Raw genomic sequence first — 22,204 nt, 5'->3', positions numbered from 1 at the left:
TCAAAGATCAGAACTTTATCTTCTAGGTCCTTAAGGATAGAATCATTTTATACCTGAAAAGCAGTTCATGTTTTCCATCTGACATTAGGAACACCACACCAAAAAGCCTTTTTGTCTTAAAGACTTTATCAAGTACTCAGGACATACAATATCCTTCATCCTAACATCTCAGTCCTGAAATAAAAATATTCTGCAAGAAGTTATGCGTTCTTGTCTTGTTTTGGTCACAATTTCTAGACACCAAAACAACTACCAAAAAAATAGAAAAAACATGAATACGACACACGGACACACATTCTCACATCAGTCCATTTTAACATGATTAATCTGAAACTATATCCTTCTGGTTTTGGATCTATGTCTTTGTATACTCATGAAATAACAAGTACAAAGGAAACACCTGAATGGTGTAATCGAATTTGGCTGTAAAGGTTGGTATTACAATTTATTTTCAAAGACTTAAAGATGACAAATATTGGCTATTATTGAACCACAGGAATGATTATGAGAAAGGAAAGTCAAAGCCAAAAGACTAAAACCAGAGCAACAAAATAAACACATGAAGTAGACCAACAACTAGGTTAGAGGACAATACGTGCCTCTTACATAAAATAATATTGATGTTACTTAAACTAGAATTAGTACGCCAGAAGTAATCTGCGAGACTGAACATTTTTTTCAAACCCCTTCTTTATAGTTAAAAAAAATGGGACCTTGGGAACATGAAGTGACTTGTTCATACCTTCAAATAAATGCCAAGTTACTCCTCTAATAAACATTAAAATATACACAAATTTTGTAAACTCAACTTACTGTTTTATTCTCCTCAGTTGCCAAGGTTTGTACATTTATGTAAGTAAGAATTCTAACGTGACTACATGGCATGTTTTGGGATCTGTGTTTCTAATTAAGTAGAAATTAATAATTAAGTGTAAAGAAACAAATTGTCAGCTATCACAATACTTGATCAATCTTAAATGTAACTTCAGAGGCCTGATATTTTCAACACCTCTCCCATAATTATTAACTTATTCCTAAGAAGGAGGGATTTAGTGAATTAGATTAATTGTTAGAAAGCTACAGCCTCCTCATTAATCCCACCATCGCCTCCCAGCACTTTGGAGCCTGAGGCAAGAGGATCACTTGAGGCTGGGAATTCCAGATCAGCCTGGGAAACATAGTGAGACCCCATCTCTACAAAAAAATTTTTTTAATTAGCTGGGCATGGTGGTAGAGGCCTTCACACCCTACTTGGGAGCCTAAGGCAAAAGGATCGCTTAAGCCGAGGAGTTTGAGGCTGCAGTGAGCTATGACTGTGCCACTGCACTCCAGCCCAGGCAACAGAATAAGACCCTATATCAAAAAAGAAAAGAAAAGAGAGAGAGAGAGAGAGGAAGGGAGGAAGGGAAGGAGGAAGCCAGGTGCAGTGGCTCACGCCTGTAATCCCAGCACTTTGGGAGGCTGAGGCGGGTGGATCACCTGAGGTCAGGAGTTTGAGACCAGCCTGGCCAACATGGCAAAACCCCATCTCTACTAAAAATACAAAAATTAGCTGGGCGTGGTGGCTGGTGCCTGTAGTCCCAGCTATTTGGGAGGCTGAGGCAGGAGAATCACTTGAACTCAGGAGGCAGAGGTTATAGTGAGCCAAAACTGCACCACTGCACTTCTGCCTGGGTGACAGAGTGTTACTTCATCTCAAAAAACTAAAGAAAGAAAGAAGGGACGAAGGGAGGAAGGGAAGAATGGAGGGAGGGAGAAAGGGAGGGAAGGAGGAAGGAAGGAAAGGAAGGAAGGAAGGAAGGAAGGAAGGAAGGAAGGAAGGAAGGAAGGAAGGAAGGAAACAGCCTCATCTGTTATGCTTCAAAAAACCAAAAATTCTTATGCCTAAGTTTAACAGTTAACATCACTTATTTTAAAGATATGACTATGCAATTCTAAAACGATATCAAGAAATGAGTACTTGTCAGTAAGAACAAAAGAAGAAAATGATCAAATATTGTATTACTTGAATGGTATGATCAGTCTGCTAATTTTTTTGAATTGCTATATAATTTAGGGAGAAGTCAAACTCTTTGCTGAAAGACATGAAAAGTACAATTCCATAGCTAACATTAAACTTGATTGTAAAAATAAGCAAATGTAGCTCAAAAGATATATATGGTTACCAATTGTTATTACAGAGCAACAACTTTAATAAGATCGTAAGTACATAAAATTAAAATGTGAATAATGATCACTAGGAGTTGAATGTAACCAACGAAAGTATTTTTCTAAAACAATAGTTGAGAGAAGGCGAGAAGCAAGCTGACACTTATTGCATACCAGGCATTGTGCTAGCATTTTACCAATGTTCCAAGTTAACCATCTTAATTATCCCACAACTTCATGAGGCAGCTATTATTATTATTATTATTTTATAAGAAAGAAACAGAAAGTTGGGTAATTTGCCTAAAGTCATATAGCTAGTAGGTGGAAGAGCTGTGATTTGGATCCCAACGTTTGACTCCTAAATCCACAATCTTTTCGGATTTCCCACTGAAACATAGATTAATCCATAATCCATTTCTTTAAAAAATACTTGAAAATGATTTTGATCATAAAAACCACAATGCAATATTTTTTTCTCTTTGTGCGCATGTCTGGAAAGCCTGTAAGATTAAGTCTACAGAAATGAAACAGGATTCAAATCAGTTTTATGTTTATAATCATACATTGCACATGACTTGGAAGCTTTAGCTTTTTTCAGTGCTTTCATAAATTTCGAGTCACTTTATCATCACGATACCTCTATAAGGGAAAGCTGATGGATTCGTCACTCTGTAGATGATGTTTCAACTATGTGAGCTGCCCAGATTAGAGGCAGAGCTGGGACCAGAATTTACACATCCTGACTATCTAATGCTCTTTCTATTAGATCCTACTGCCTTCAAAGCCAAAAGATAGGAATTTCTGCATCTGAGACAATACTTTCCCCATCTTTTTTCTAAAGTGGTAAAAGATACTGTAACTTATACATAGGAAATCTAGACTGCCTTGATATGTTCTTTTTTTCTATTCTATAAGATCAAACAGTCTGAATAAAACAATTTTAAGCCCTAACGCCTTTCATTTCTTTGACTTTCGCCATAATATCCATGCTAAAGTGACTGAATTGAAATCATAGCTCCTGTATATATCAAGTGATTCCATTATAATCTCGAAAAACTAGAGCCTATAACAGCAAAAGCAATTTCCATTCATATCATACATAAAAATAATCTAGTATTAGGTAAGATTGGACTTACATATAGCCATTGGTAGAAAAGATGTGCTAAGATATTCAATGATATCCTTGTGCAGAAATGGAGGAAAGGTAGCCAACGTTGATATCATCGTGTAGGGCAAAGTACTCAGAATATCATCATTGAGAAAAGGTAGCAAACATGTAGTTGTATAAAATATCGACTGTCCAAGATCTACAAAACAAAATTGAGTAATCAGTCACTGAATATTTTGCAATTAACAAAATAGGCTAACTTTACATTTTAAGCTTTAATGAACTGGTTTAAGTTATAAGCAACTAGTGCTCCATCTCTATTAAGTGTTATGAAACATAATGTTTGATAGGGTACTATTTATACAGTAATTGGTCAATAAATGACTGATGAATGAATATGTTAAGAAATATAAATATCCATTACATGCATTTTTCCTCCACACTTTCTCAATCTTCAATAATACTTGGTATTTGTATTACTACATTCTACACAAGATAACTGAGGCACAAGAAGTTAGATGATTTGCCCAATGGAAGTTTTAGAAAAGTCAAGGGCAGTATCAGAAATAAAACCGGGCTATTTCTGCTCCATCAATCAAACCATCTGGAGTGTCGGGCAATGAGGTAATTTGCAACCTTCAGCCGAGCAGCAATTTCAGCAAGCACCAAACAAGGGAAGCCGTAAGCTGGTGCTACATGACCATGTGCATTGAGTCATCAATGATCATGGGAGGAAGTGCTACCTAATAATAATCTTTCTAACAACATCTTTAAACAGGGATCATAACAATACCTACCTCACTTCATTAGAAGGATTGTTAGGAGGTTTTAATGAGATAAATGTAAAGTCCTTAGCATAGCACATACTGTGTGCTCCACAAATATTAGCTGTTATTACTAATATTAACAGTTACTATTATTATTACCTGCACAAGAATAAAAATAAAGGAGATGCAACAAAACCATAACTATTTAGCTTTAGAATGCATGTAGGCCAAATCCCATTACACTAAATGTACATTTGTATATTCCTGGACTTCCCAAAATATAGGCCATCAGCCAAGGTTTGATGATGAAGACTTGGATCACTTTTGTATTCATTATAACAGAAAAGTACTAGACTCTTCTTTGTTTTGCAGCAGATGAACCTTCTTTGGATTCCTAATGTTATTTCTGATTGTCGTTAGAATTAATATGCCATCTTAACAGGCACATCAGCTAACAACAGAAAGGATGTGGCCACAGTGCACACTAGAGGGCCAGAGTCAGTCAACCTTGAGCTCAAATGAATGAAATGGAAAATCCACAGGTGTTTTACTAAGAATTAACCGAAGCTGTGCATACAAGACACCTCAGCTCCTTTTGCTGAGCCTTTTAGCCTAATTACAGAACATTAGCACTGAAAGGAGCCCAACTGGAGTATTTTTCATATAAGGAAACTGAGGTCCGGAGAGAGGTGATTGTTCAGGATCACCTGAGAGTTAGCAGTTGAACTGCGACAAAACCGTTGCCTAGTGCTCTTCCTGTGCTCCACCCAGACCCAGCAGCAAGACACAGCCTCCGGTCTTAGTGCAGCGGCTCTCAAAGTCTATGCAAAAGAAGCGTCCACAAGGATCTTGCTAAAAATTCAGATCCTCAGGCCCCACCTCTCAGTGATTCTTAGTAACTAGTCCCCGGGTGGGACCAGAATTCCATGTTACAAACTCCCTCAGTGATTCCGATGTTTTTCAGACCATGCTTCAAGAAACAATGCCGTATTGTTTCTCTGAACCATTCATTAGATTGATCTACTGAGTTTTTTCCTACCTTCTAAGCTCTATCATGCAGAACAAGAACACGATAGCTAAATAACAATGTCACAAAGTCACAAAACAGCCGCAGGTACAAGAGCAAAAATACAAATCATCTCCCCTGAAATCGTCACAATTTACACATTAATTGCAATTACACAGATTGCAATTTACCAAATTTAATGTCTTTATCTTAATCAAGGGGCTTTGAAGATAACGGGCAGCTCCCCTAACACAGTGGACCAACCCAGGACCAGGCAAGTCCCAGGTGAGTTCAGGACTAGTAGTCACGAAGGAGACGCACTGACAAGCTCATCAGCATAGTAAGCTCTGGCAGTCTTATGTTAAGAATCCTCTCATTTAAGTTCAGAGCTGGCAGAGGATCACAGCAGAAGTGGCTAGATTTAAGACGGCTACAGAATTATACAAAAAGCAACTTTACGAATTTCTATACCTTTTACATTCACCATAACACAGAATTGTAAATGTAAGAAAAAACAAATCCAATAGTCATTATTTCATCATTTTTATCTCCGTAGATTTTTAAACTTTTAATATTATGAACACGTTGTACTAAATAAACCATCAAGAATTCTCTTAGGGGAGTTAGCCATAACTAAAAGACAAAATAACCCCCACTACCCACTTATTTTCCAAAATTCAAATTTTTCTGTACAGTGAAACTTTGGTTATCATACTTTCAGGGACCAAATTATCAGAGTTTTGAAGTTAAAATAACTAATGTTTTAAAGTGCATTACCTGCAGAAATCCCTTTTCTTATTGCATTGTTTTTCATTTGATTCTCCCATTTTTACAGGTTAGGAGAATTTGGTAAGCAACCAAGATAATGAAACTGGCTAAGGACACAGAGTAGAAAGGGGGAAGAGTTAAGAAAAGAAGCAGGCTCTTAGACTTCTATTCTAAGCACCACTAATATCATATATTGTATACATACTGCAAATAGCACATAGCACCACTAATACCATATGCTGAATACAGCATACAGCGCCACTATATACTATATCTACATTTTGATACAACATTTTGTAATAACTATTGATTGTTGTTTACATTTGGAAGAGTTGTTAGAGATTACTTCTCATCTAACCTCCTGACTTTATTAAAGAGACAGGAAAAAATGGGTCCTAGAGAATTTGCTCCCTCAAAAATTACCGAATCAGTCAGTGGATTATAGCCTGCTCTTCATGCTCTACTTCTTAATTTTCTGGGTGACAGTTTTAAAATCTTATCTCCCCACTCATAATTTCAACAAGAGTCCTCATGATAACTGATCAGGAAAGAAGAGAAAATTTCTTGTTATACATCTTCCTCCTTTCTCCAGCCCCATTCTCCCCCAATACTCCACTTGGATAACATCCCTCTGGCAATAAAACAGTGTAAAATAATAGTATGGGAAGCACCATAATGAAGTTTCAGTGTAGTGCTTCTAGCCACACAAAGCCCTTTCAGGTGATTGATTACAACAGTGACCATCTCCAAGCCCCTTGCTCAGCATCATATACATTCATAAGCATCCACGTACATTTCCAAAGGTTTCAGCTAAGTGCTCACCGTGTTGGCCGTGCTGTAGTAAAGGAACTAGATCCAGGAGGGTCACCAAAGTCACGTAGAGGCCTTGGTAGTCCAAAGAAGGGTAGTCTGACAACTGAGCATCACGACTTTGCGGGCCGCGTTCTGAGGGAGCATCTCGCAGGACGCTGTAAAGGAGGGAGCGAGTAACAGTAGGGTTGATGGAACTGACCTGCGGTCTTAGAGATGGGGTGAGTGGGAATGGCACAGGAAAAAGACACATGGTCATGGGCACTGTCAAATTGGAGGCATCTTGGTTTTCCTTCTTCCCTGTGCGGGACAAAATGCTGTTGGGGGGACAAAGAAAAAAAAGAGACAACAAAGACACAAAGAACAGCACATTACATTGAAATGACACTCTAAAACAAATAATAAAACACCAGATACATTCCACATAAGATGCAATTGCCACGCCAGCAGGGTCTACCAGTCTAGTACTGGTCACATAGCTTCGTGCTCAGAGGTACCAATAATACAAGGTTTACTTTGTGGAAGTCTCATTGCATCTCATGTGTTATCTGGTTAGTAAGGAGCAAAAATATAAAAATGCATGTTTCAGTGCCAAACCCATGTTTTACAGTTTAGCAATTTGGTGAAGGAGAGGTTTCCTGGGAGAAAAAAACAACGGCTTTGTCTAATGAGTAAGGGCTCTTATTCCTAATTACAAGGAGCTTTCAAAGGAAAAGACATTTTCAGCAAGACTGTCTTCATCAGGTAAATAGGAACTTGCAAAATATAGGTATGGCACTTGCAGAAACATGTTTCAGCAAAGAATAAACATGTGTGTTTATTAAGAAAGTCTTAAAAATCACATGTTTATTGCATCAAAATAATGTCTATATGTATATTATGATACTGTTTCATGACATTCTGTCAGTATCATTTGAGATAATGAAGTTTAAACAGGCATATGAATTTAGAAATAATACATATTTCTAAAATGTTAGCTAAACTACATTGGAAAAGCTATAAAATAATATATAGTTGATGGTCCATAGCATATGTTTGTGAACTAATGATAATGGTTATTTATGTGTGTTTTTTAAATTTTGCATGTTGGGGAGGAAACATTTTATTTTATGAATACAAACAGTGGTTTATTAAATAGTTACCTTCAAAATCCTAACGACTAAGCAAGCAGTATCTGTCATATAGCTGCACATCATACAGTAAGATTTCATATATTACTGCTGCTACTTACGTTATTATTCAACAAAACTCACTAAAGACTAAAGGAAAGATAATTTAGAAAGTTAAAAAAAATTAATGGGAATAAAAATAAATTCTAAAAATAAATTGGTTTTCTTTTAGCCTTAATTTTAAAATAAAAACCTTTTTGGTAAAAGTGATAAAGCAGAAAAGTTGTTAATTTAAAAATAGAAGAAGTTACTGCTTAGCAAAATGTTTAGGTTTTGTAAAATTAGGTTATACTATTTAGCATTAAAGACAATAGCTATACATTAGAATGATAATATCTGCGCACTTGCAAAGTGCTTTTATATAGTACACTTATGTTAGTCCAAGTAGATAACAGTTTATAAATGGTTCATTACATAAAAATAACCTTGTTTTACAGTTGCTCTATGTGCATCAAACATTACTAAGTTCTTAGTTAATGATATTACATTTACAATTTTACAGTGATGTCAAGAATTGGTTAGTGTCAAGCATGCTTGCTCTATCAAGTTTGCATTTATTTTTATTATTTGCTCTTAGTGCAAAATATGTTACAATGTAAGAAAAATGACTACATGCTTTGTATTTTCCATGTGCCTAATTTACCTCGATTTCCTTTGTCTTCTGTTACCCAATGTCCAGGGGAAAACAATTGATAATAATAAAAATAATTTCAGAATACTTATGTAATACTTCTTATCAATAAATAACTTAAGATTTTTTTTTGTAATTTAAAGGGATTTAATTTACCTTTTTGTGTGTGATGTATTTGACTTTGTAAGCTTATACTTTACAATGGGATAATATCAATATTCCAGTTACCACCTGACTGTATCTATTATAAATGCCATCAGATTTTTCATCAGACTTTATACTTTTCTCACATGACTCAATTATTCCTAAGAATACCACCTTTATTAATGTTATATTCTTGATAAACCCAGTCACCAAAAATCTGTTTTAATCCTGTAGGATTCTAATCCCACTGAAAATTCCTCTAGAATCACAATGGCTATAAGTCAGAGATATTATTTCCCAAACTTCGGCCCTAAATTAACCTACTATTGGCATCTTTTCAAAATTACAAAATGTGAATCTTATAGAAGTGGTATAAGGAGAACAACATTTTGCCTTAGAAAATAAAAATAGCTGAATACCATAAATTAATGCTATGCTTTAAATTAAGTGCAATGCTCTGATCAAACTTCTTGGTGGGGGAAATAAACACATTATTTTTTCAAATATACCTTAGTATTTTTCCAAAGTATGATGTCAGTTAACAAATACTTTGGAGACTCTACTTTGATATTTTTCCCTTCCTGTATATGTGGGGTTCCCAAACGATAGCAACAACAGCTTCATACATGCAGGGAGGGAAGAATGTCAGCATGAAAACAGTAAAACTTCTCTCTCACTGCCTTTAGATTTGAGAATTCGGTGAGGTTGAGAAAAAAAATGGCTGAAAATGAGTCATCCATGAAACCAGTTTTAAATTACCATTCATGTCTCAATGTAAGGAAATGTTTTCATTTGTGGAAAAACTTAAGAAGGGCTCATGAATAAATGTACAATGCATTGTGATTTTATGATGTTTTGTGAAGTTTATTCAGAAAAAAAAAAAAGTATTTCCCCAACCAAACTGCCTAACTTGGGAGCTGATAAAACCATTTTCCCCACCTGAAATTCTTTCCCACAGTTCTGTAAACCCAACCAAAATGAATATTAAGAATGCCCTGCTCAGAAGAGTTTGACTCTGCAGCCAGCTTTTCACCTTTCCCTTTTCCTCCTGAGATTCTCTTTATCAAACATTGACTTTCAGCATCAAGAGAGGAAGACCTCTGTTGGTGTGAGGAAAGATGAGAAGTTGCCCTGAGGTATGTATAGCACAGAAAATTAATATGTCAAACAAACTTCCTTTAAGATTAGGAATGTTGACATTTGAGTTGAATCTATGTACTTAACAAAATTTACTTCATTATGCAATGCTCTAAAGTTACTCCATGACTTAACCAATAACATGGAGGATATATACATATATTCTTCCTAAGCAACTGGAAATTACAATTCAATTAAGATTATTATGCTGCATCTACAATCCATTTTTATAACATATTAGGCATTTTCTAAATAGCAGCAAGCAGCTTTCCCCAAATGTAATTTCGTTAAAAGATTTTACATGCTAGCAGCCTAAACAGCACCAGAAGAGAGATCTGGGGGAAGAAATTCCAAAAGAATGTTTGACATAGGAAGAAGACTAGGATCCTTTAAATGTCCTGCCAGGTAAAAAGCAAGATTCTTAAAGACCTTCGCTGTTGAAAATATGGCCACAGGATGTTTCCAATATAAAAAGAACAGACTCCCTCCCATGTAGCAGTGAGGGGAGATTAAACTGGATGGTCTTGGTAGTTACTTCTAATGCTAAAAGCAAACAAAGAACTAAACTCTGAAGTTGTGTGTTGCTCACTGCCAAACTTAGGTATCTGCTAAATTAAAATGAGTACAACTCGGCACTCAGATGTAACTTTACCAGACCCCAGGTCACCACTAGATTAAGTAAATAGCATTAACTAGAAGGATTCCAACGCTGGATGAAATTTGGACTAAAGTCAACTCAATTCAATTCAACAAACATTTACTGATCCCCTTCTCTGGGTTAAACACTGCTCCAGACACAAGGGCTAGCAAGCTAAATAACATGTAGGACTCACCTTCCACTACTAGAGTTTAAGGAATGCCCATGAACACAAATTTGAGTCTAATTATGAGCTAAGTGGACATATGTGGACTCTTCAACTGATTTTATAGTCAACTATGGTAACATACAATCTCTCCCCTCCTACAAATTAAATAAATCGAAGTTAAATGTCTAAGCTAATTTCTGCCTTTTGAAATAGGTACGAAACTCTACTAAAATCATGAGAGTTGTATGCATGCACAAATACCACGAACTATTGCTCCAAAAATGCAACCCTGACTCAAGTGAAGCTGCTGAAATTTCAAGTTGCATATTTTAACCAAAAAAAAACCATTTTAACTTCATTGAGAATATCCACATAGAAAGACAAATAGTTACTTCGTGAGAATTCATCTCTAATTCTTTCTTCTTGTTATTTTTCCCCCAAGAACCTGAGTTCTGAAAGCAAGAAGTGCTTCTGAACATAAAGATCATATTAAATGCTTTAATAATATTAAACAATATATAATAATTTTGCAGTAGAAAATCTTGTTTGTAGTAGAAAATCTTACTGCCACTAATCTTGGACACCAAATGCTTAGACCATATTATTTGTCTTTGAATTTATTTATTTATTTATCTTAGAGATAGGGTGTCGCTCTGTCACCCAGGCTGGAGTACAGTGGTGCAATCAAGGCTCACTGCAGCTTCAAACTCCTAGGGTCAAGCAGTCCTCCTCCCTCAGCTTCTGAGGAGCTTGGACTAAAGGTGCATGCCACCACACCTGGCTAATTGTTAAAAGAATTTTTTTAGAGATGGGGTCTTACTATGTTGTCCAGGCTGATCTCAAACTTGTGGCTGGTCTCAAACTTGAAGTTTGAGACTTCTGGTTGCTAACATTATCTCCACTTAAATTCACTTAAATTCTGAAAAGATGACAAATCTTGGTGCTAAGCACTTCCTTTAATCTGCCACCTCAGCCTCCCAAGCAGCTGGGATTATAGATGCCAGCCACCATGTCTGGCTGTCTTGAACTTTCTAATAGCATAAATAAAATGAAGAAGTACAAATACGATTGTTATAGATGTACATATCAACAGTTCTGTACTTCTAGTTTTAAAAAAAATGGTTGCAATTGTTACTATTACCATTAGCAGTACATGTTGATGTTGCCTCCGTTTGAAAATGAACTCAGCTCAGTTGCATAGGATCTTCTCCAACAAGCCACTTGAACAAACTACCAGTTTTACCACTAAAATACTACCACCTATGATCATATTCTAATGGTCCACTGCTCAAGAAAATGGAATCTTTACGTCTTGCAAACGTGACTTTTCAATATTTTAAATTCCTTAACTCTTGGGCACAATCACTAAGACCTAAGCAGCAAGCTCTGAGGTGCCAACTAGGATATTACAGTTTCCTGGCAAATGGAATTCAGCATGCTTCCTACTGAAAAGTGTCTCTCGCTTTGAGAACTTTCAGAATTTGTCATAAAGGAAACTGTTTTCCATTGAGAACTTGGACCTCAAAGACAAAAGAAGAATTCAAGAGAACAGAATTGGATGCCTTGATTCATAAATTTTTCTGATGATCACTATGAAAATTGGGCTAATTATTCCACTACAATTTGAGAAGAAGGAAAATATCCTGTAAGAGGTCCTAACCTTACCGTGCAAGTATGAAATGTATGAATCTGATAAGCAGGAGCCCTTCAATATAGAACAGGATCACTAAGGACTCTAAAGAAGGAAAGATATTTCAAAAAATAAGAACAGAAAGATAGGAGGACTGCAAAAGATTCGTAGCTGACTTGATCGCATGAAGCTTCCATCCGCAAAGCATTCAGCTTTTCCCGTGGCAAAGCTTTCGACTGCTAGAAACTCCAGTGCCACTAGTCTTTGCAAATTTGTGTTCTCCTAATATCTGTCTTACAAAATTTTTGCTTCTGTACAGCTAAAAGAAACAGTACCAAGCCAATTTATGTGTTGCCAAAATCAGATTTGAAGTGAGAAGACCGTGGTAATGGAGAAACCACATCTTGGAATTTAATGGAACGTGAGAGGTTCTTCTGAATTCTTCAATGTTATTTCTGAAAACAACTGAGCCTTTACTTGAACAGTTCAGCTTTCTTTGCTCTGTTTTCTTAATCAAGATACGTGGAGCAAATAGGGCCCTCCTATCTCTACCTTACAGTAAAAGTAGACAAAAGAAAAAGAGCCCTATTTTTTTTCCTTGTCCTTCATAGAATTTCATTATCAAGGCAAAGCATGTTGAACATGTGAAGTGTTACCCAGATTAAAAATAACTATTATCACTGTATATTACACTTAGGGAAATAGAAAATGCTAATGATGAACCTAAAATGCCACATAATTCTGAATTGCTTTTAGACCAAAAGTGTTTCCAATTATTAATTTTAAGCAATTGTAGGCTATCCTTTTAATCCCACTCTATATTAGTGCCAAATATAGAACTGTATCATTTTAAAGATGCCCTGAAAAGATGTTCAATGCGGGAAAGCAGGCAGTAGCCAGGCAACCAATCTTTTTCAGCTGGGCCTGGGATCCAATTTGCTACATACACCCAGAGAACTTGAGCACAGACTCTTCTGACAGAGCACTAGAAAACATAGGCCCTTTAAAACTTGCAATTCAATAAAAATTTAGATCCCAATAAATTCAGCAATACTACCTAATAATTCTCTCAAAGTAGAGGATATTGTAAAGCTTACCTTAACAAGGTCTGAGAAAAGTATTTCAAGGTGTTTGCAATATCTGTTCCTGATGGTACAGGATAAATGTTGTGGAGAACCCGGTTATGATATTCCTGCAAGTACCGGATCTTGGAAGCAACTAGATAAAAGCAAAAAAAAAAAAAAAAAAAAAAAAAAAAAAGGAAGAAGAAAAAGAAAGAGAAGAATCATCTTGTAATATGTATTAGGCATACAGTCATTTTTAAAAATGATTACAAACAAGAATTTAATCAGTATTTTAAGAAACATAAGTAAATTTTTAATAGAATTCCATGATAGAAACAATTACAAAAAAACTTTTAATTTCTTTTAATTGTATTCGGCACACAAAATTATTCTTAGTTTTCTGGTTTAATATCCTATTCACAAATTATCTATTGCTTGTTTTTATCACTAAGAAAAGCAGTACTCCAAATTGTTTTCTAATCACCCCCAAGTTGGCTTATTATTAGCAAAATAATAATAGATATAAGTCTTTGCCAAGGAATTACATTTAATGTTGCTTAACTAAAACTGAAGGAGAAAACTGAAAAGTCTTTCTACAACACTCAAAAAATCCTAAAATATAGGGAGTTCCATTGCACAATGGCATCAATTGAAGTCAGATTATTAACTCAACATGTGATCATGAAAGTGTGTTTAGTAAATGCTTTAGCTGTGAGAATATGTTAAGAGTAGATTAACATGATGAGTGTTAAGTAAGAATACAATGATTGTGCACTAATAAAAATGTAAAAAATAAATGTCACATTTTTCTTCCAAAGAATCTCATAAATTAGGAGACTTCCTAATAGCTTTCTGAGCTTGGCTGCCCAGATCTTCTCAAGATTCAGGAGGGACTCAATAGATTTATTTACCCTCCTAGACCTACCTGGAGTCACCAGCATTGTCCACATTCCTGACCTGACCTTTGACCTGGCTGTAGTGAAGGACCCCGTTCTAGTCATTCCTCTTTGCAAATCCCAAGGAGCCATGATGATCAACGTCTCTCTGGTCTCCTCTTCCACAGAGTTCTCAACACTGTCCATTTGTCCTTTCAATCTTTAAGGGAGCCTTTTAGGTGGTATGGCTCACTGTCAGCAGTTAACAGAAGACATATCAAGTCCTGGAGAAGCAAGGCCTGCTGTTCCCAATAACCCACGGAAATAAGCTCCTGGATGCATTCTAACTCAAAATCCTTTTGATAAGTGTGGGACGTAGAAGCACAGAACGACAAAATATCAGAACTGGAAGGACCTTAGAGACCTCTTCCCATAACCACTTCCTTTTAAAGATGGGGAAAATGAGGCACATAGGTGGTCAATGGCAGAGCCAGACTAGTACTTAGATTTCCTGATCCCAATCCAGTGATCTTTCCACTATGACACACTCTAGAATATGACTCTGAAATTATGTCCACGTGAACGTGACATCCACATGAATGTGAACGTCCATTGCTTGACATCAAAGCAATTTCCAGAAGTTACCAGGTTAATCACTGATTCTAAATCCTACATACACTATTTATCAGATTTGCCTTTTCTCTCTTCCACTACCTGAACTATTTCCATAATATGGTTAGCATTTTCCCAAAGAAATAAGTCTAGATTGCAGATAATAATACCTTGAGTCTATGTAACACATCAGCTCCAAAGAAAGCAATAAGTTTATAAACATCATCTCAATTAACTCCATAAATATTTGGTAGTAAATAACTTTTTTTCCTGAGATAATAGGTGATACTTGAAAACAGTTTGATTGCATAATCTACAAAAGTCCATTTCCTTCTCAGTGTTTTTGATCTGCTATTCATTATATTTCAAAAACCATACTACAAGAAAATCCCCACATTAATGCATAGTTCCAAGTTCCAAATATCCGAGATATATGCTAGGCCAGCACATGCTGTCTGCTCACCCACTGTCACAGTAATGAAGCATTACTGTGACTTTTCTCAAGTTTTAATATTCAGCAAGTTTCTGTAGAGTATTTCAGGAATACCATTAATCATTCCATCACCTAAGTAAAGGAGTTGATAATAGTACAGGGTATGGACAATAAGTTCAAATGAGGAAAAAACTCACAAATCCCTCAACTCAATGGCTTGCTCATAATTCAAGAGCTATAAAACCATCACTACACAATGATTACAAGCATTCAAAAATGTTTATGAAATGAAAGGATGTTCTTTTTATAGCTCTTTTCATTAAAATGCAGCAATAGCTCCTTTCCACAGGTACCCAAATATGCACAGCAAAGCAGAGACAAGAGTCACTTTTTTCTTTGAGATCTTGTAATGTTACAAAAGTCATATTGCATTGTCTCTGTGTACTTACCTGCTTGTTTTTCTATACCAGCTTGTAAATTTCTTAAGGGCAGAAACTATACCTTACTCATGGCTCTATCCCAAGCCTAACACACTGTCTGGCACTTAGTAGGGACTCAATATATTCATAGGATTAAATTAACAAATGAATTAATACTTTAGTAACAGCACTTATCACTCAGGTCTTTAGGATATATAGAGAGTATACATATCTGCATATATATGTACACTATACACATATATACCTGCATATAGACATACGATAGATTGTGGACTCTTCATCCTTAGTGCCAGACACCTAGTAGGTACTCAATAAATTGTTGATAAGTGAAGATGGAGAAAAAAAAGGAAGAAAGAAAGTGGGACAGAGAAAGAGGAAGAGAGTGGTGAGTAATCATGAAAGACCATTTTTAGAACAGATTGAAAAAAATGTTCAAGCCAATTTGTGCATTGGTGAATGCAACAAAATCTTAGCAGTAATAGATTTAACATCCACGTTTTCAACAACTTGAGAGCAGCCAAAAAGGTCCATGACAAATAGTAATTTGTACTTGTGCCAAGGATGTGAATAAAACTCATTTACAGTTCAATTTTGTGCACGAGAGGTGGTCATTTGGCTGGTTAATAAGCCCATGTGAGCATCCAGCAGCCTCATCAAAGCAGGGCTCCTCTTTACTCCACACATATACCTGACTGCTGCTGCGGAGGCTCGAATAATTGGGCCCAATAGATATAAATGAATGATCTTCAACCTCAACTGACCCTAAGGCTACATTTCTCTAGTAAGCTCCTTCTTCTACACTCTTCAATTATAGTTATACTATCTTCAAAACTCCCCCCGGGGCCACCCCTTTCCTTATACTTTAAAAAGCCATCTGTTATTGACTGAATTTTGTGGCGCTTAGAATTCATATGTTGAAACCTTAACCTCAAAATGTGACTGTACCCAGAGATAAGGCCTTTAAAAGGGTGATTAAGTTAAAATGAGGCCGTTTCCGTGGTGGACCCTAATCCAATCTGACTGCTGTCCTTTTAAGAGGAGATTAGGACACATAAGAGATACCAGAAATGTGGGAACACAGAGGAAAGGCCACGTGAGGACAGAGAGAGAAGGCAGCCATCTGCAAGTCAAGGAGAGAGGCCTCAGGAGAAACCAAACCTGCCAACACCTCAATCTCAGACTTCAAGCCTCCAGAACTGTGAGAAAATACATTTCTGTTGTTTTAGCCACCCAGTCTGTGGTACTTTTATGGCAGCTGGAGCAAACTAATACACCATCATAGAGGAAATCTTTTTTTGTTTTGTTTTGTTTTGTTTTAGATGGAGTCTCGCTCTGTCACCCAGGCTGGAGTGCAGTGGCACGATCTCGGCTCACTACCAGCTCTGCCTCCTGGGTTCACGCCATTCTCCTGCCTCAGCCTCCCAAGTAGCTGGGACTACAGGTGCCCACCACCACGCCCGGCTAATTTTTTGTAATTTTAGTAGAGATGGGGTTTCACCGTGTTAGCCAGTATGGTCTCAATCTCCTGACCTCGTGATCCGCCCGCCTCCGCCTCCCAAAGTGCTGGGATTACAAGCATGAACCACAGCGCCCGGCCCCGAGGAAATCTTATTAGTAAGAGTTAAGAATATGAACTCTGAAATCAAACAGTTCTGACTTAAGGCCTTGGATCTATCTCCACTTAAGCCCAATTTCCTCATCTGTAAAATGGGGATAATTACATCAACTTCACAGGGCTACTGTGATTACTGTGCTATTGTGATTATGGTGCGAGTGGATACTTTGCACAGTGCCTGGTATACACTCCACATATATTAAATAGTAGATGTCAAAAACCTACTAGCAGCTCCTTTCCTTGTCCTGTCAAACACCAATCCCAGCATTCACTGGGGCTCTCCATCCATCAGTGTGTCTCCTATGAAATTAATCTCTCCTCCTTTGCTAAATCATTCCTACCAGGATTCAAACAAACTGTAGAATCTCTCTTGTCGAAGGGAAAGAAAAAACCTCTCTCCTGCCTTTCCATTCCCCTCCAGCGACAGTCCTCTGCCTTCAGAGCCAAGATGATGAAGAGTCTTGCACACATTCTCCTCTCTCTGTCACTTTCTATTCCTCCTTCCACTCACTCCAGTTTGGCTCCCACATCCACCACTGCACTGAATCCATTTCCCACAATCATCTAGAGCCTCCAGATTGCCAATCCATCAGGCACTTTCCGATCACCATTTTCCTAGGCTTTTCAGAGCATTCTGTACAGTCAATCCCTCCCTCCCTCCTTCTTGAAACTCTCTCCCCTTGGCGTCCCAGACCCCACATTCCCCTGCTCTTCCTCCCCCTGGAACGTATCCTTCTTCAAGTGCTTTGCCACTTCCCCCTATTAGTTGATATCTAAGTGTTGGAATTCATCAGGGCTCAGTCCTAGACTCTGTTCCTCTCTCTCAATATTCTCCCCATAGGCAATCCCATCCATCCACAGGACTGTCAGGAGCATCCAGGGGCCAACTGCTCTGAAAGGTCTGTCTCCATCCCAGGTGGGTAGCTGTTGTGAATAACAGGCCTCATCGATTCAATTTCTCCACTTGGGAATCTTATAAATATCTCAAAGAAAACATGTCTGACATTGACTCTTAGGTCTCCCTTCCCCCAAGAAAGAAACCTACTCCACCATCTGTGTAACCCACCAAGTCACTCAAGCAAAGCATTCTAAAGCTCATCCTTGACAGACCCTATTCCCCGCCGTACCTCACTCCTCTAATCCAATCCATTACTAAGTCCTATTAATCACTAAGTCTTATCACTAAATCCTATCAAATACATCTCCCAACTGTCTTCTGTTCCTTATCGTCACTGTCATTACTCAGCAGCAGCATTTCCTGATCAAGTCTAACAGCCTCCTAACTCATTTTTCAGATTTCTTCTTGCCTCTCTCCACTCCTTCTCCTCAGAGCAGCCAAACAGATCTTTTTAAATTATAAACTGCTTCATACAGTCATAAACAGTAACCACTGCTCAAAGTCCTTCAGGGGCTGCCCACTGTCTTCAGGACAAAATCCCAAATCCTCCTTAGTGTGGTCAAAGTCCCTGCCTACCTTCCAACCTAACGTCGTGACACAAAAGCCAGACACTGTTGTGTGTGTGTTTTGTTTTGTTTTGTTTTTTGAGACAGAGTCTTGCTCTGTCACCCAGCCTGGGATGCAGTGGCCCGATCTCCGCTCACTGCAACCTCCACCTCCCAGGCTCACGTGATTCTCCTGCCTGAGCCCTGCCAGTAGCTGGGATTACAGGTGCCGGTCACCACATCTGGCTAATTTTGTATTTTTAGTAGAGCCGGGGTTTCACCATGTTGGCCAGGCTGTTCTCGAACTCCTGGCCTCAAGTGATCTGACCGCCTCGGCCTCCCAAAGTGCTGGGATTACAGGCAAGAGCCACCACACCTAGCCCATTTTTTCCTTAACACCGGTTTTTGTTTTTTTGTGTTTCTTTTCTTTCTTTTTTTTTTTTTGCTTGAAAACCTTTCTATGTCCTTGTCCCTCTTCATAGAGTGCTTTCCCTCCACACTTTGTGAGACTAACTCCTACTCATACTTCAAAACTGACTTTAAGTGTCCCTTCCTCATTATGGAGGTCTTTGCAAACTTCCTTGTCCAAAATGATTCCCTGATCTCCACCTTCATTTCTTTCTGTGTAACACTCTGCAGTTTTGTCCAGAGTAGTGAGCACAATTTGTAATGATGTATTTATTTAGGTGACCGTTGACTGTCTTTTCTAAGTGAACAGTGAGCTTTTTGTTCACCATTGTATACCCTCGGTGCCTATTAAGTACTGAATTTGCTGAGTTCCTAGTAAGGATGAAAGTAGACAAGGCAGGAAGGGAAAGAATGGCTTTTTACAGCAGTTCAACTTTGTCTATAAAAATAGCCCAGAAGGCCAACTGTTAAAACTGTGATGAAAATGAAGAAAAAAAAACAAAAGAGGTCTGTGCATACACAAATTTAATCTCTGTTTGATATTTTACGGCCCCTTCTATCCTCACCGTTTCTTGGGAGCTTTGCTACTTTTTGAGAGCAAAAGCCATAAAAGCAAAATTCAGTCATAGACTAAAAAACACTTAACAAAATTGGGATTGTATAAAACGTAAGTTTTAAATCTTTCCTTTTTAAGTCTTAAGCATTTTCCTATGTCACTAAAAATTTTTAACAGAGATCCATCCCTATTTTTGAAAAATTTAATTAGCAATCCTCATTATCATAAAAGGAAAAAATTCAGGTAAGCAACATGAAGAAGATAAAAATCACCTAAAGGGCCCACTACTCAGAAACAACTGTAGTTAACATTTTGGCATGTTATCCTTCTAGAAAATTTTCTCTGCATAAATATACATTTACCAGAATAGGATTAAACTGTGTATAGTTTTAGAATCTGTTTTCCTCACTTTCTATGCACTTCTATATCATCATTTTAATGGTTTTATAATTTCCTTTATGTAAGAGAATCGTAATTTACTTTACCAATAATCTATTTGTGAGATTTTGGGGTGTTTTCCAGTATTCTATTCAATGCTGCAAAGAATATTCTTTTCTTTTCTCTTACTAATTTTATTTTTTGTAGAGACAGAGTCTCACTATACTGCTCAGGCTGGTCTCGAACACCTGGGCTGAAGGGATCTTCCTGCCTCGGCCTCCCAAGTGCTAGGATTACAGGAGTGAGGTGCCACGTGTGACCAGATGTGCACACATCTTTAATTATTTCCTTAGAATAAATTTTTAGTTATGGGATTGCTGAGTCATACAGAAAACACTCATTTTTAAAGCTCTCGGTAAGAATTAAGAAATCGTCCTTCAGAAAGACAGTAACTGTTTACATACCAGCAGAGTATATACATCATTAAGTGTGAATAACATCTCTTGAGCATCCACTATGCACCAGGTGCTCTATATACTTTTTTTTTTTTTTTTTTTTGAGAAGTCTTGCTCTGTTGCCCAGGCTGAAGTGCAGTGGCACGATCTTGGCTCACTGCAACCTCCACCTCCCAGGTTCAAGCGATTCTCCTGCCTCAGCCTCCTGAGTAGCTGGGATCACAGGTGCACGCCACCACACCCGACTAATTTTTTTGTATTTTTAGTAGAGACAGGGTTTCACCATGTTGGTCAGGCTGGCCTCGAACTCCTGACCTCATGATCTGCCCGCCTTAGCCTCCCAAAGTGCTGGGATTACAGGCGTAAGCCACTGCACTCGGCCTTTTTTTTTTTTTTTTTTTTTTTTGAGACGGAATCTTGGTCTGTCTCCCAGGCTGGAGTACAGTGGCGAGACGGGGTTTCACCGTGTTAGCCAGGATGGTCTCAATCTCCTAACCTTGTGATCCGCCCGCCTTGGCCTCCCAAAGTGCTGGGATTACAGGCGTGAGCCACCGCGCCCGGCCTGGTTTATTCAACTTTTAATGGTAATGGTAGTGACCACCTTGCAAAGTTATTGTGAGGGTTAAAAATAAATATATAGGGCCGGGCGCGGTGGCTCATGCCTATAATCCCAGCACTTTGGGAGGCCAAGGCGGGCGGATCACAAGGTTAGGAGATTGAGACCATCCTGGCTAACACGGTGAAACCCCGTCTCTACTAAAAATACAAAAAATTAGCCGGGCGTGGTGGTGGGCGCCTGTAATCCCAGCTACTCGGGAGGCTGAGGCAGGAGAATGGCATGAACCCAAGAGGCGGAGCTTGCAGTGAGCCGGGATAGCGCCACTGCAGTCCAGCTTGGGCGAAAGAGTGAGACTCCGTCTCAAAAAAAAAAAAAAGTTGAATAAACCAAAGTTCAAAAACAGTAAGTGACTTGCCCAAAGGCACAAAGCTAATAAGTATAAAACTGATAGTTTAACAGGCTGCAAGCCATGCTTTTCTGCCAGACTACATTGTTCTTTAATTATTTTTACTGGTTTAATAATATTCAGTGATACAGATTTAGCATGAAATATGGACACTTCCCCTATTCTATTGTTCAGCATTTAGGTTGTTTCCAATATTTCACTAAGTAAAACTGCAGTAAGCAGACAAAATATTAGACTATTTAGAATATTAGACTAGTTATTTATTTCTTAGAAAATACAAAACAAAACATTTACTTCACTAGTCCTGCCCTTTACTTTCTTGAAAAATCAGACCCCTTTCACCCTTCAAGGCTCATCTTAAGAGTTACATTGGCCGGATGCAGTGGCTCATGCCTGTAATCCCAGCACTTTGGGAGGCCAAGGTCAGGAGTTTGAGACCAGCCTGGCCAACATGGTGAAACCCTGTCTCTACTAAAAATACAAAAATTAGCCAGTTTTGGTGGCACCCACCTGTAATCTCAGCTCCTCCGGAGGCTGAGGCAGGAGAATTGCTTGAACCCAGGAGGCAGAGGTTGCAGTGAGCTGAGATCACGCCACGGCACTGCAGCCTTGAGTGAAGCCTTCTAATTGACTCTGGACATTATCAATAGCTCCCTTTTCTGACTACCCAGAGCATGTTATATCTGCTTCCAAAATTTTTGCACTTCATTATATAAATATTTCACTGATTATAAACTGTTCTAGATGGTTCTAAATTAGTTTCATGTGTGCAAATCTAGTTTCCCTAACAACACTTTAAGATCCTTGGAGACAAAACCATCTTATATTACATTTGT

At 37.9% G+C, this 22,204-nt stretch overlaps 1 protein-coding gene across 29 annotated transcripts in view; it reads right to left on the bottom strand.

Annotated features, from left to right (window-relative positions):
- UNC79 (unc-79 subunit of NALCN channel complex) overlaps nt 1–22,204 on the bottom strand; it is a 374,695-nt gene that overhangs the window by 226,864 nt on the left and 125,627 nt on the right. For 15 of the 29 annotated variants that reach the window (XM_011537018.3, XM_017021507.2, XM_011537022.3 and 12 more), the window contains exons 1-4: nt 14,114–17,809; nt 13,222–13,342; nt 6,620–6,924; nt 3,285–3,455 (exon numbers count right to left, since the gene is read on the bottom strand). In XM_011537018.3, coding sequence (XP_011535320.1) covers nt 3,285–3,455; nt 6,620–6,924; nt 13,222–13,342; nt 14,114–14,270 — 754 coding nt within the window. In that variant the 5' untranslated portion in view covers nt 14,271–17,809. Of the gene's footprint in view, nt 1–3,284; nt 3,456–6,619; nt 6,925–13,221; nt 13,343–14,113; nt 17,810–22,204 lie in introns of those variants that run through there. The other 14 variants (XM_011537027.3, XM_011537026.3, NM_001395159.1 and 11 more) reach the window with 3 other exon arrangements.

Source organism: Homo sapiens, chromosome 14 (genome assembly GCF_000001405.40).
Source record: "Homo sapiens chromosome 14, GRCh38.p14 Primary Assembly".
NCBI lineage: Eukaryota > Metazoa > Chordata > Mammalia > Primates > Hominidae > Homo > Homo sapiens.
This window is presented reverse-complemented; position numbering and strand designations above follow the sequence as displayed.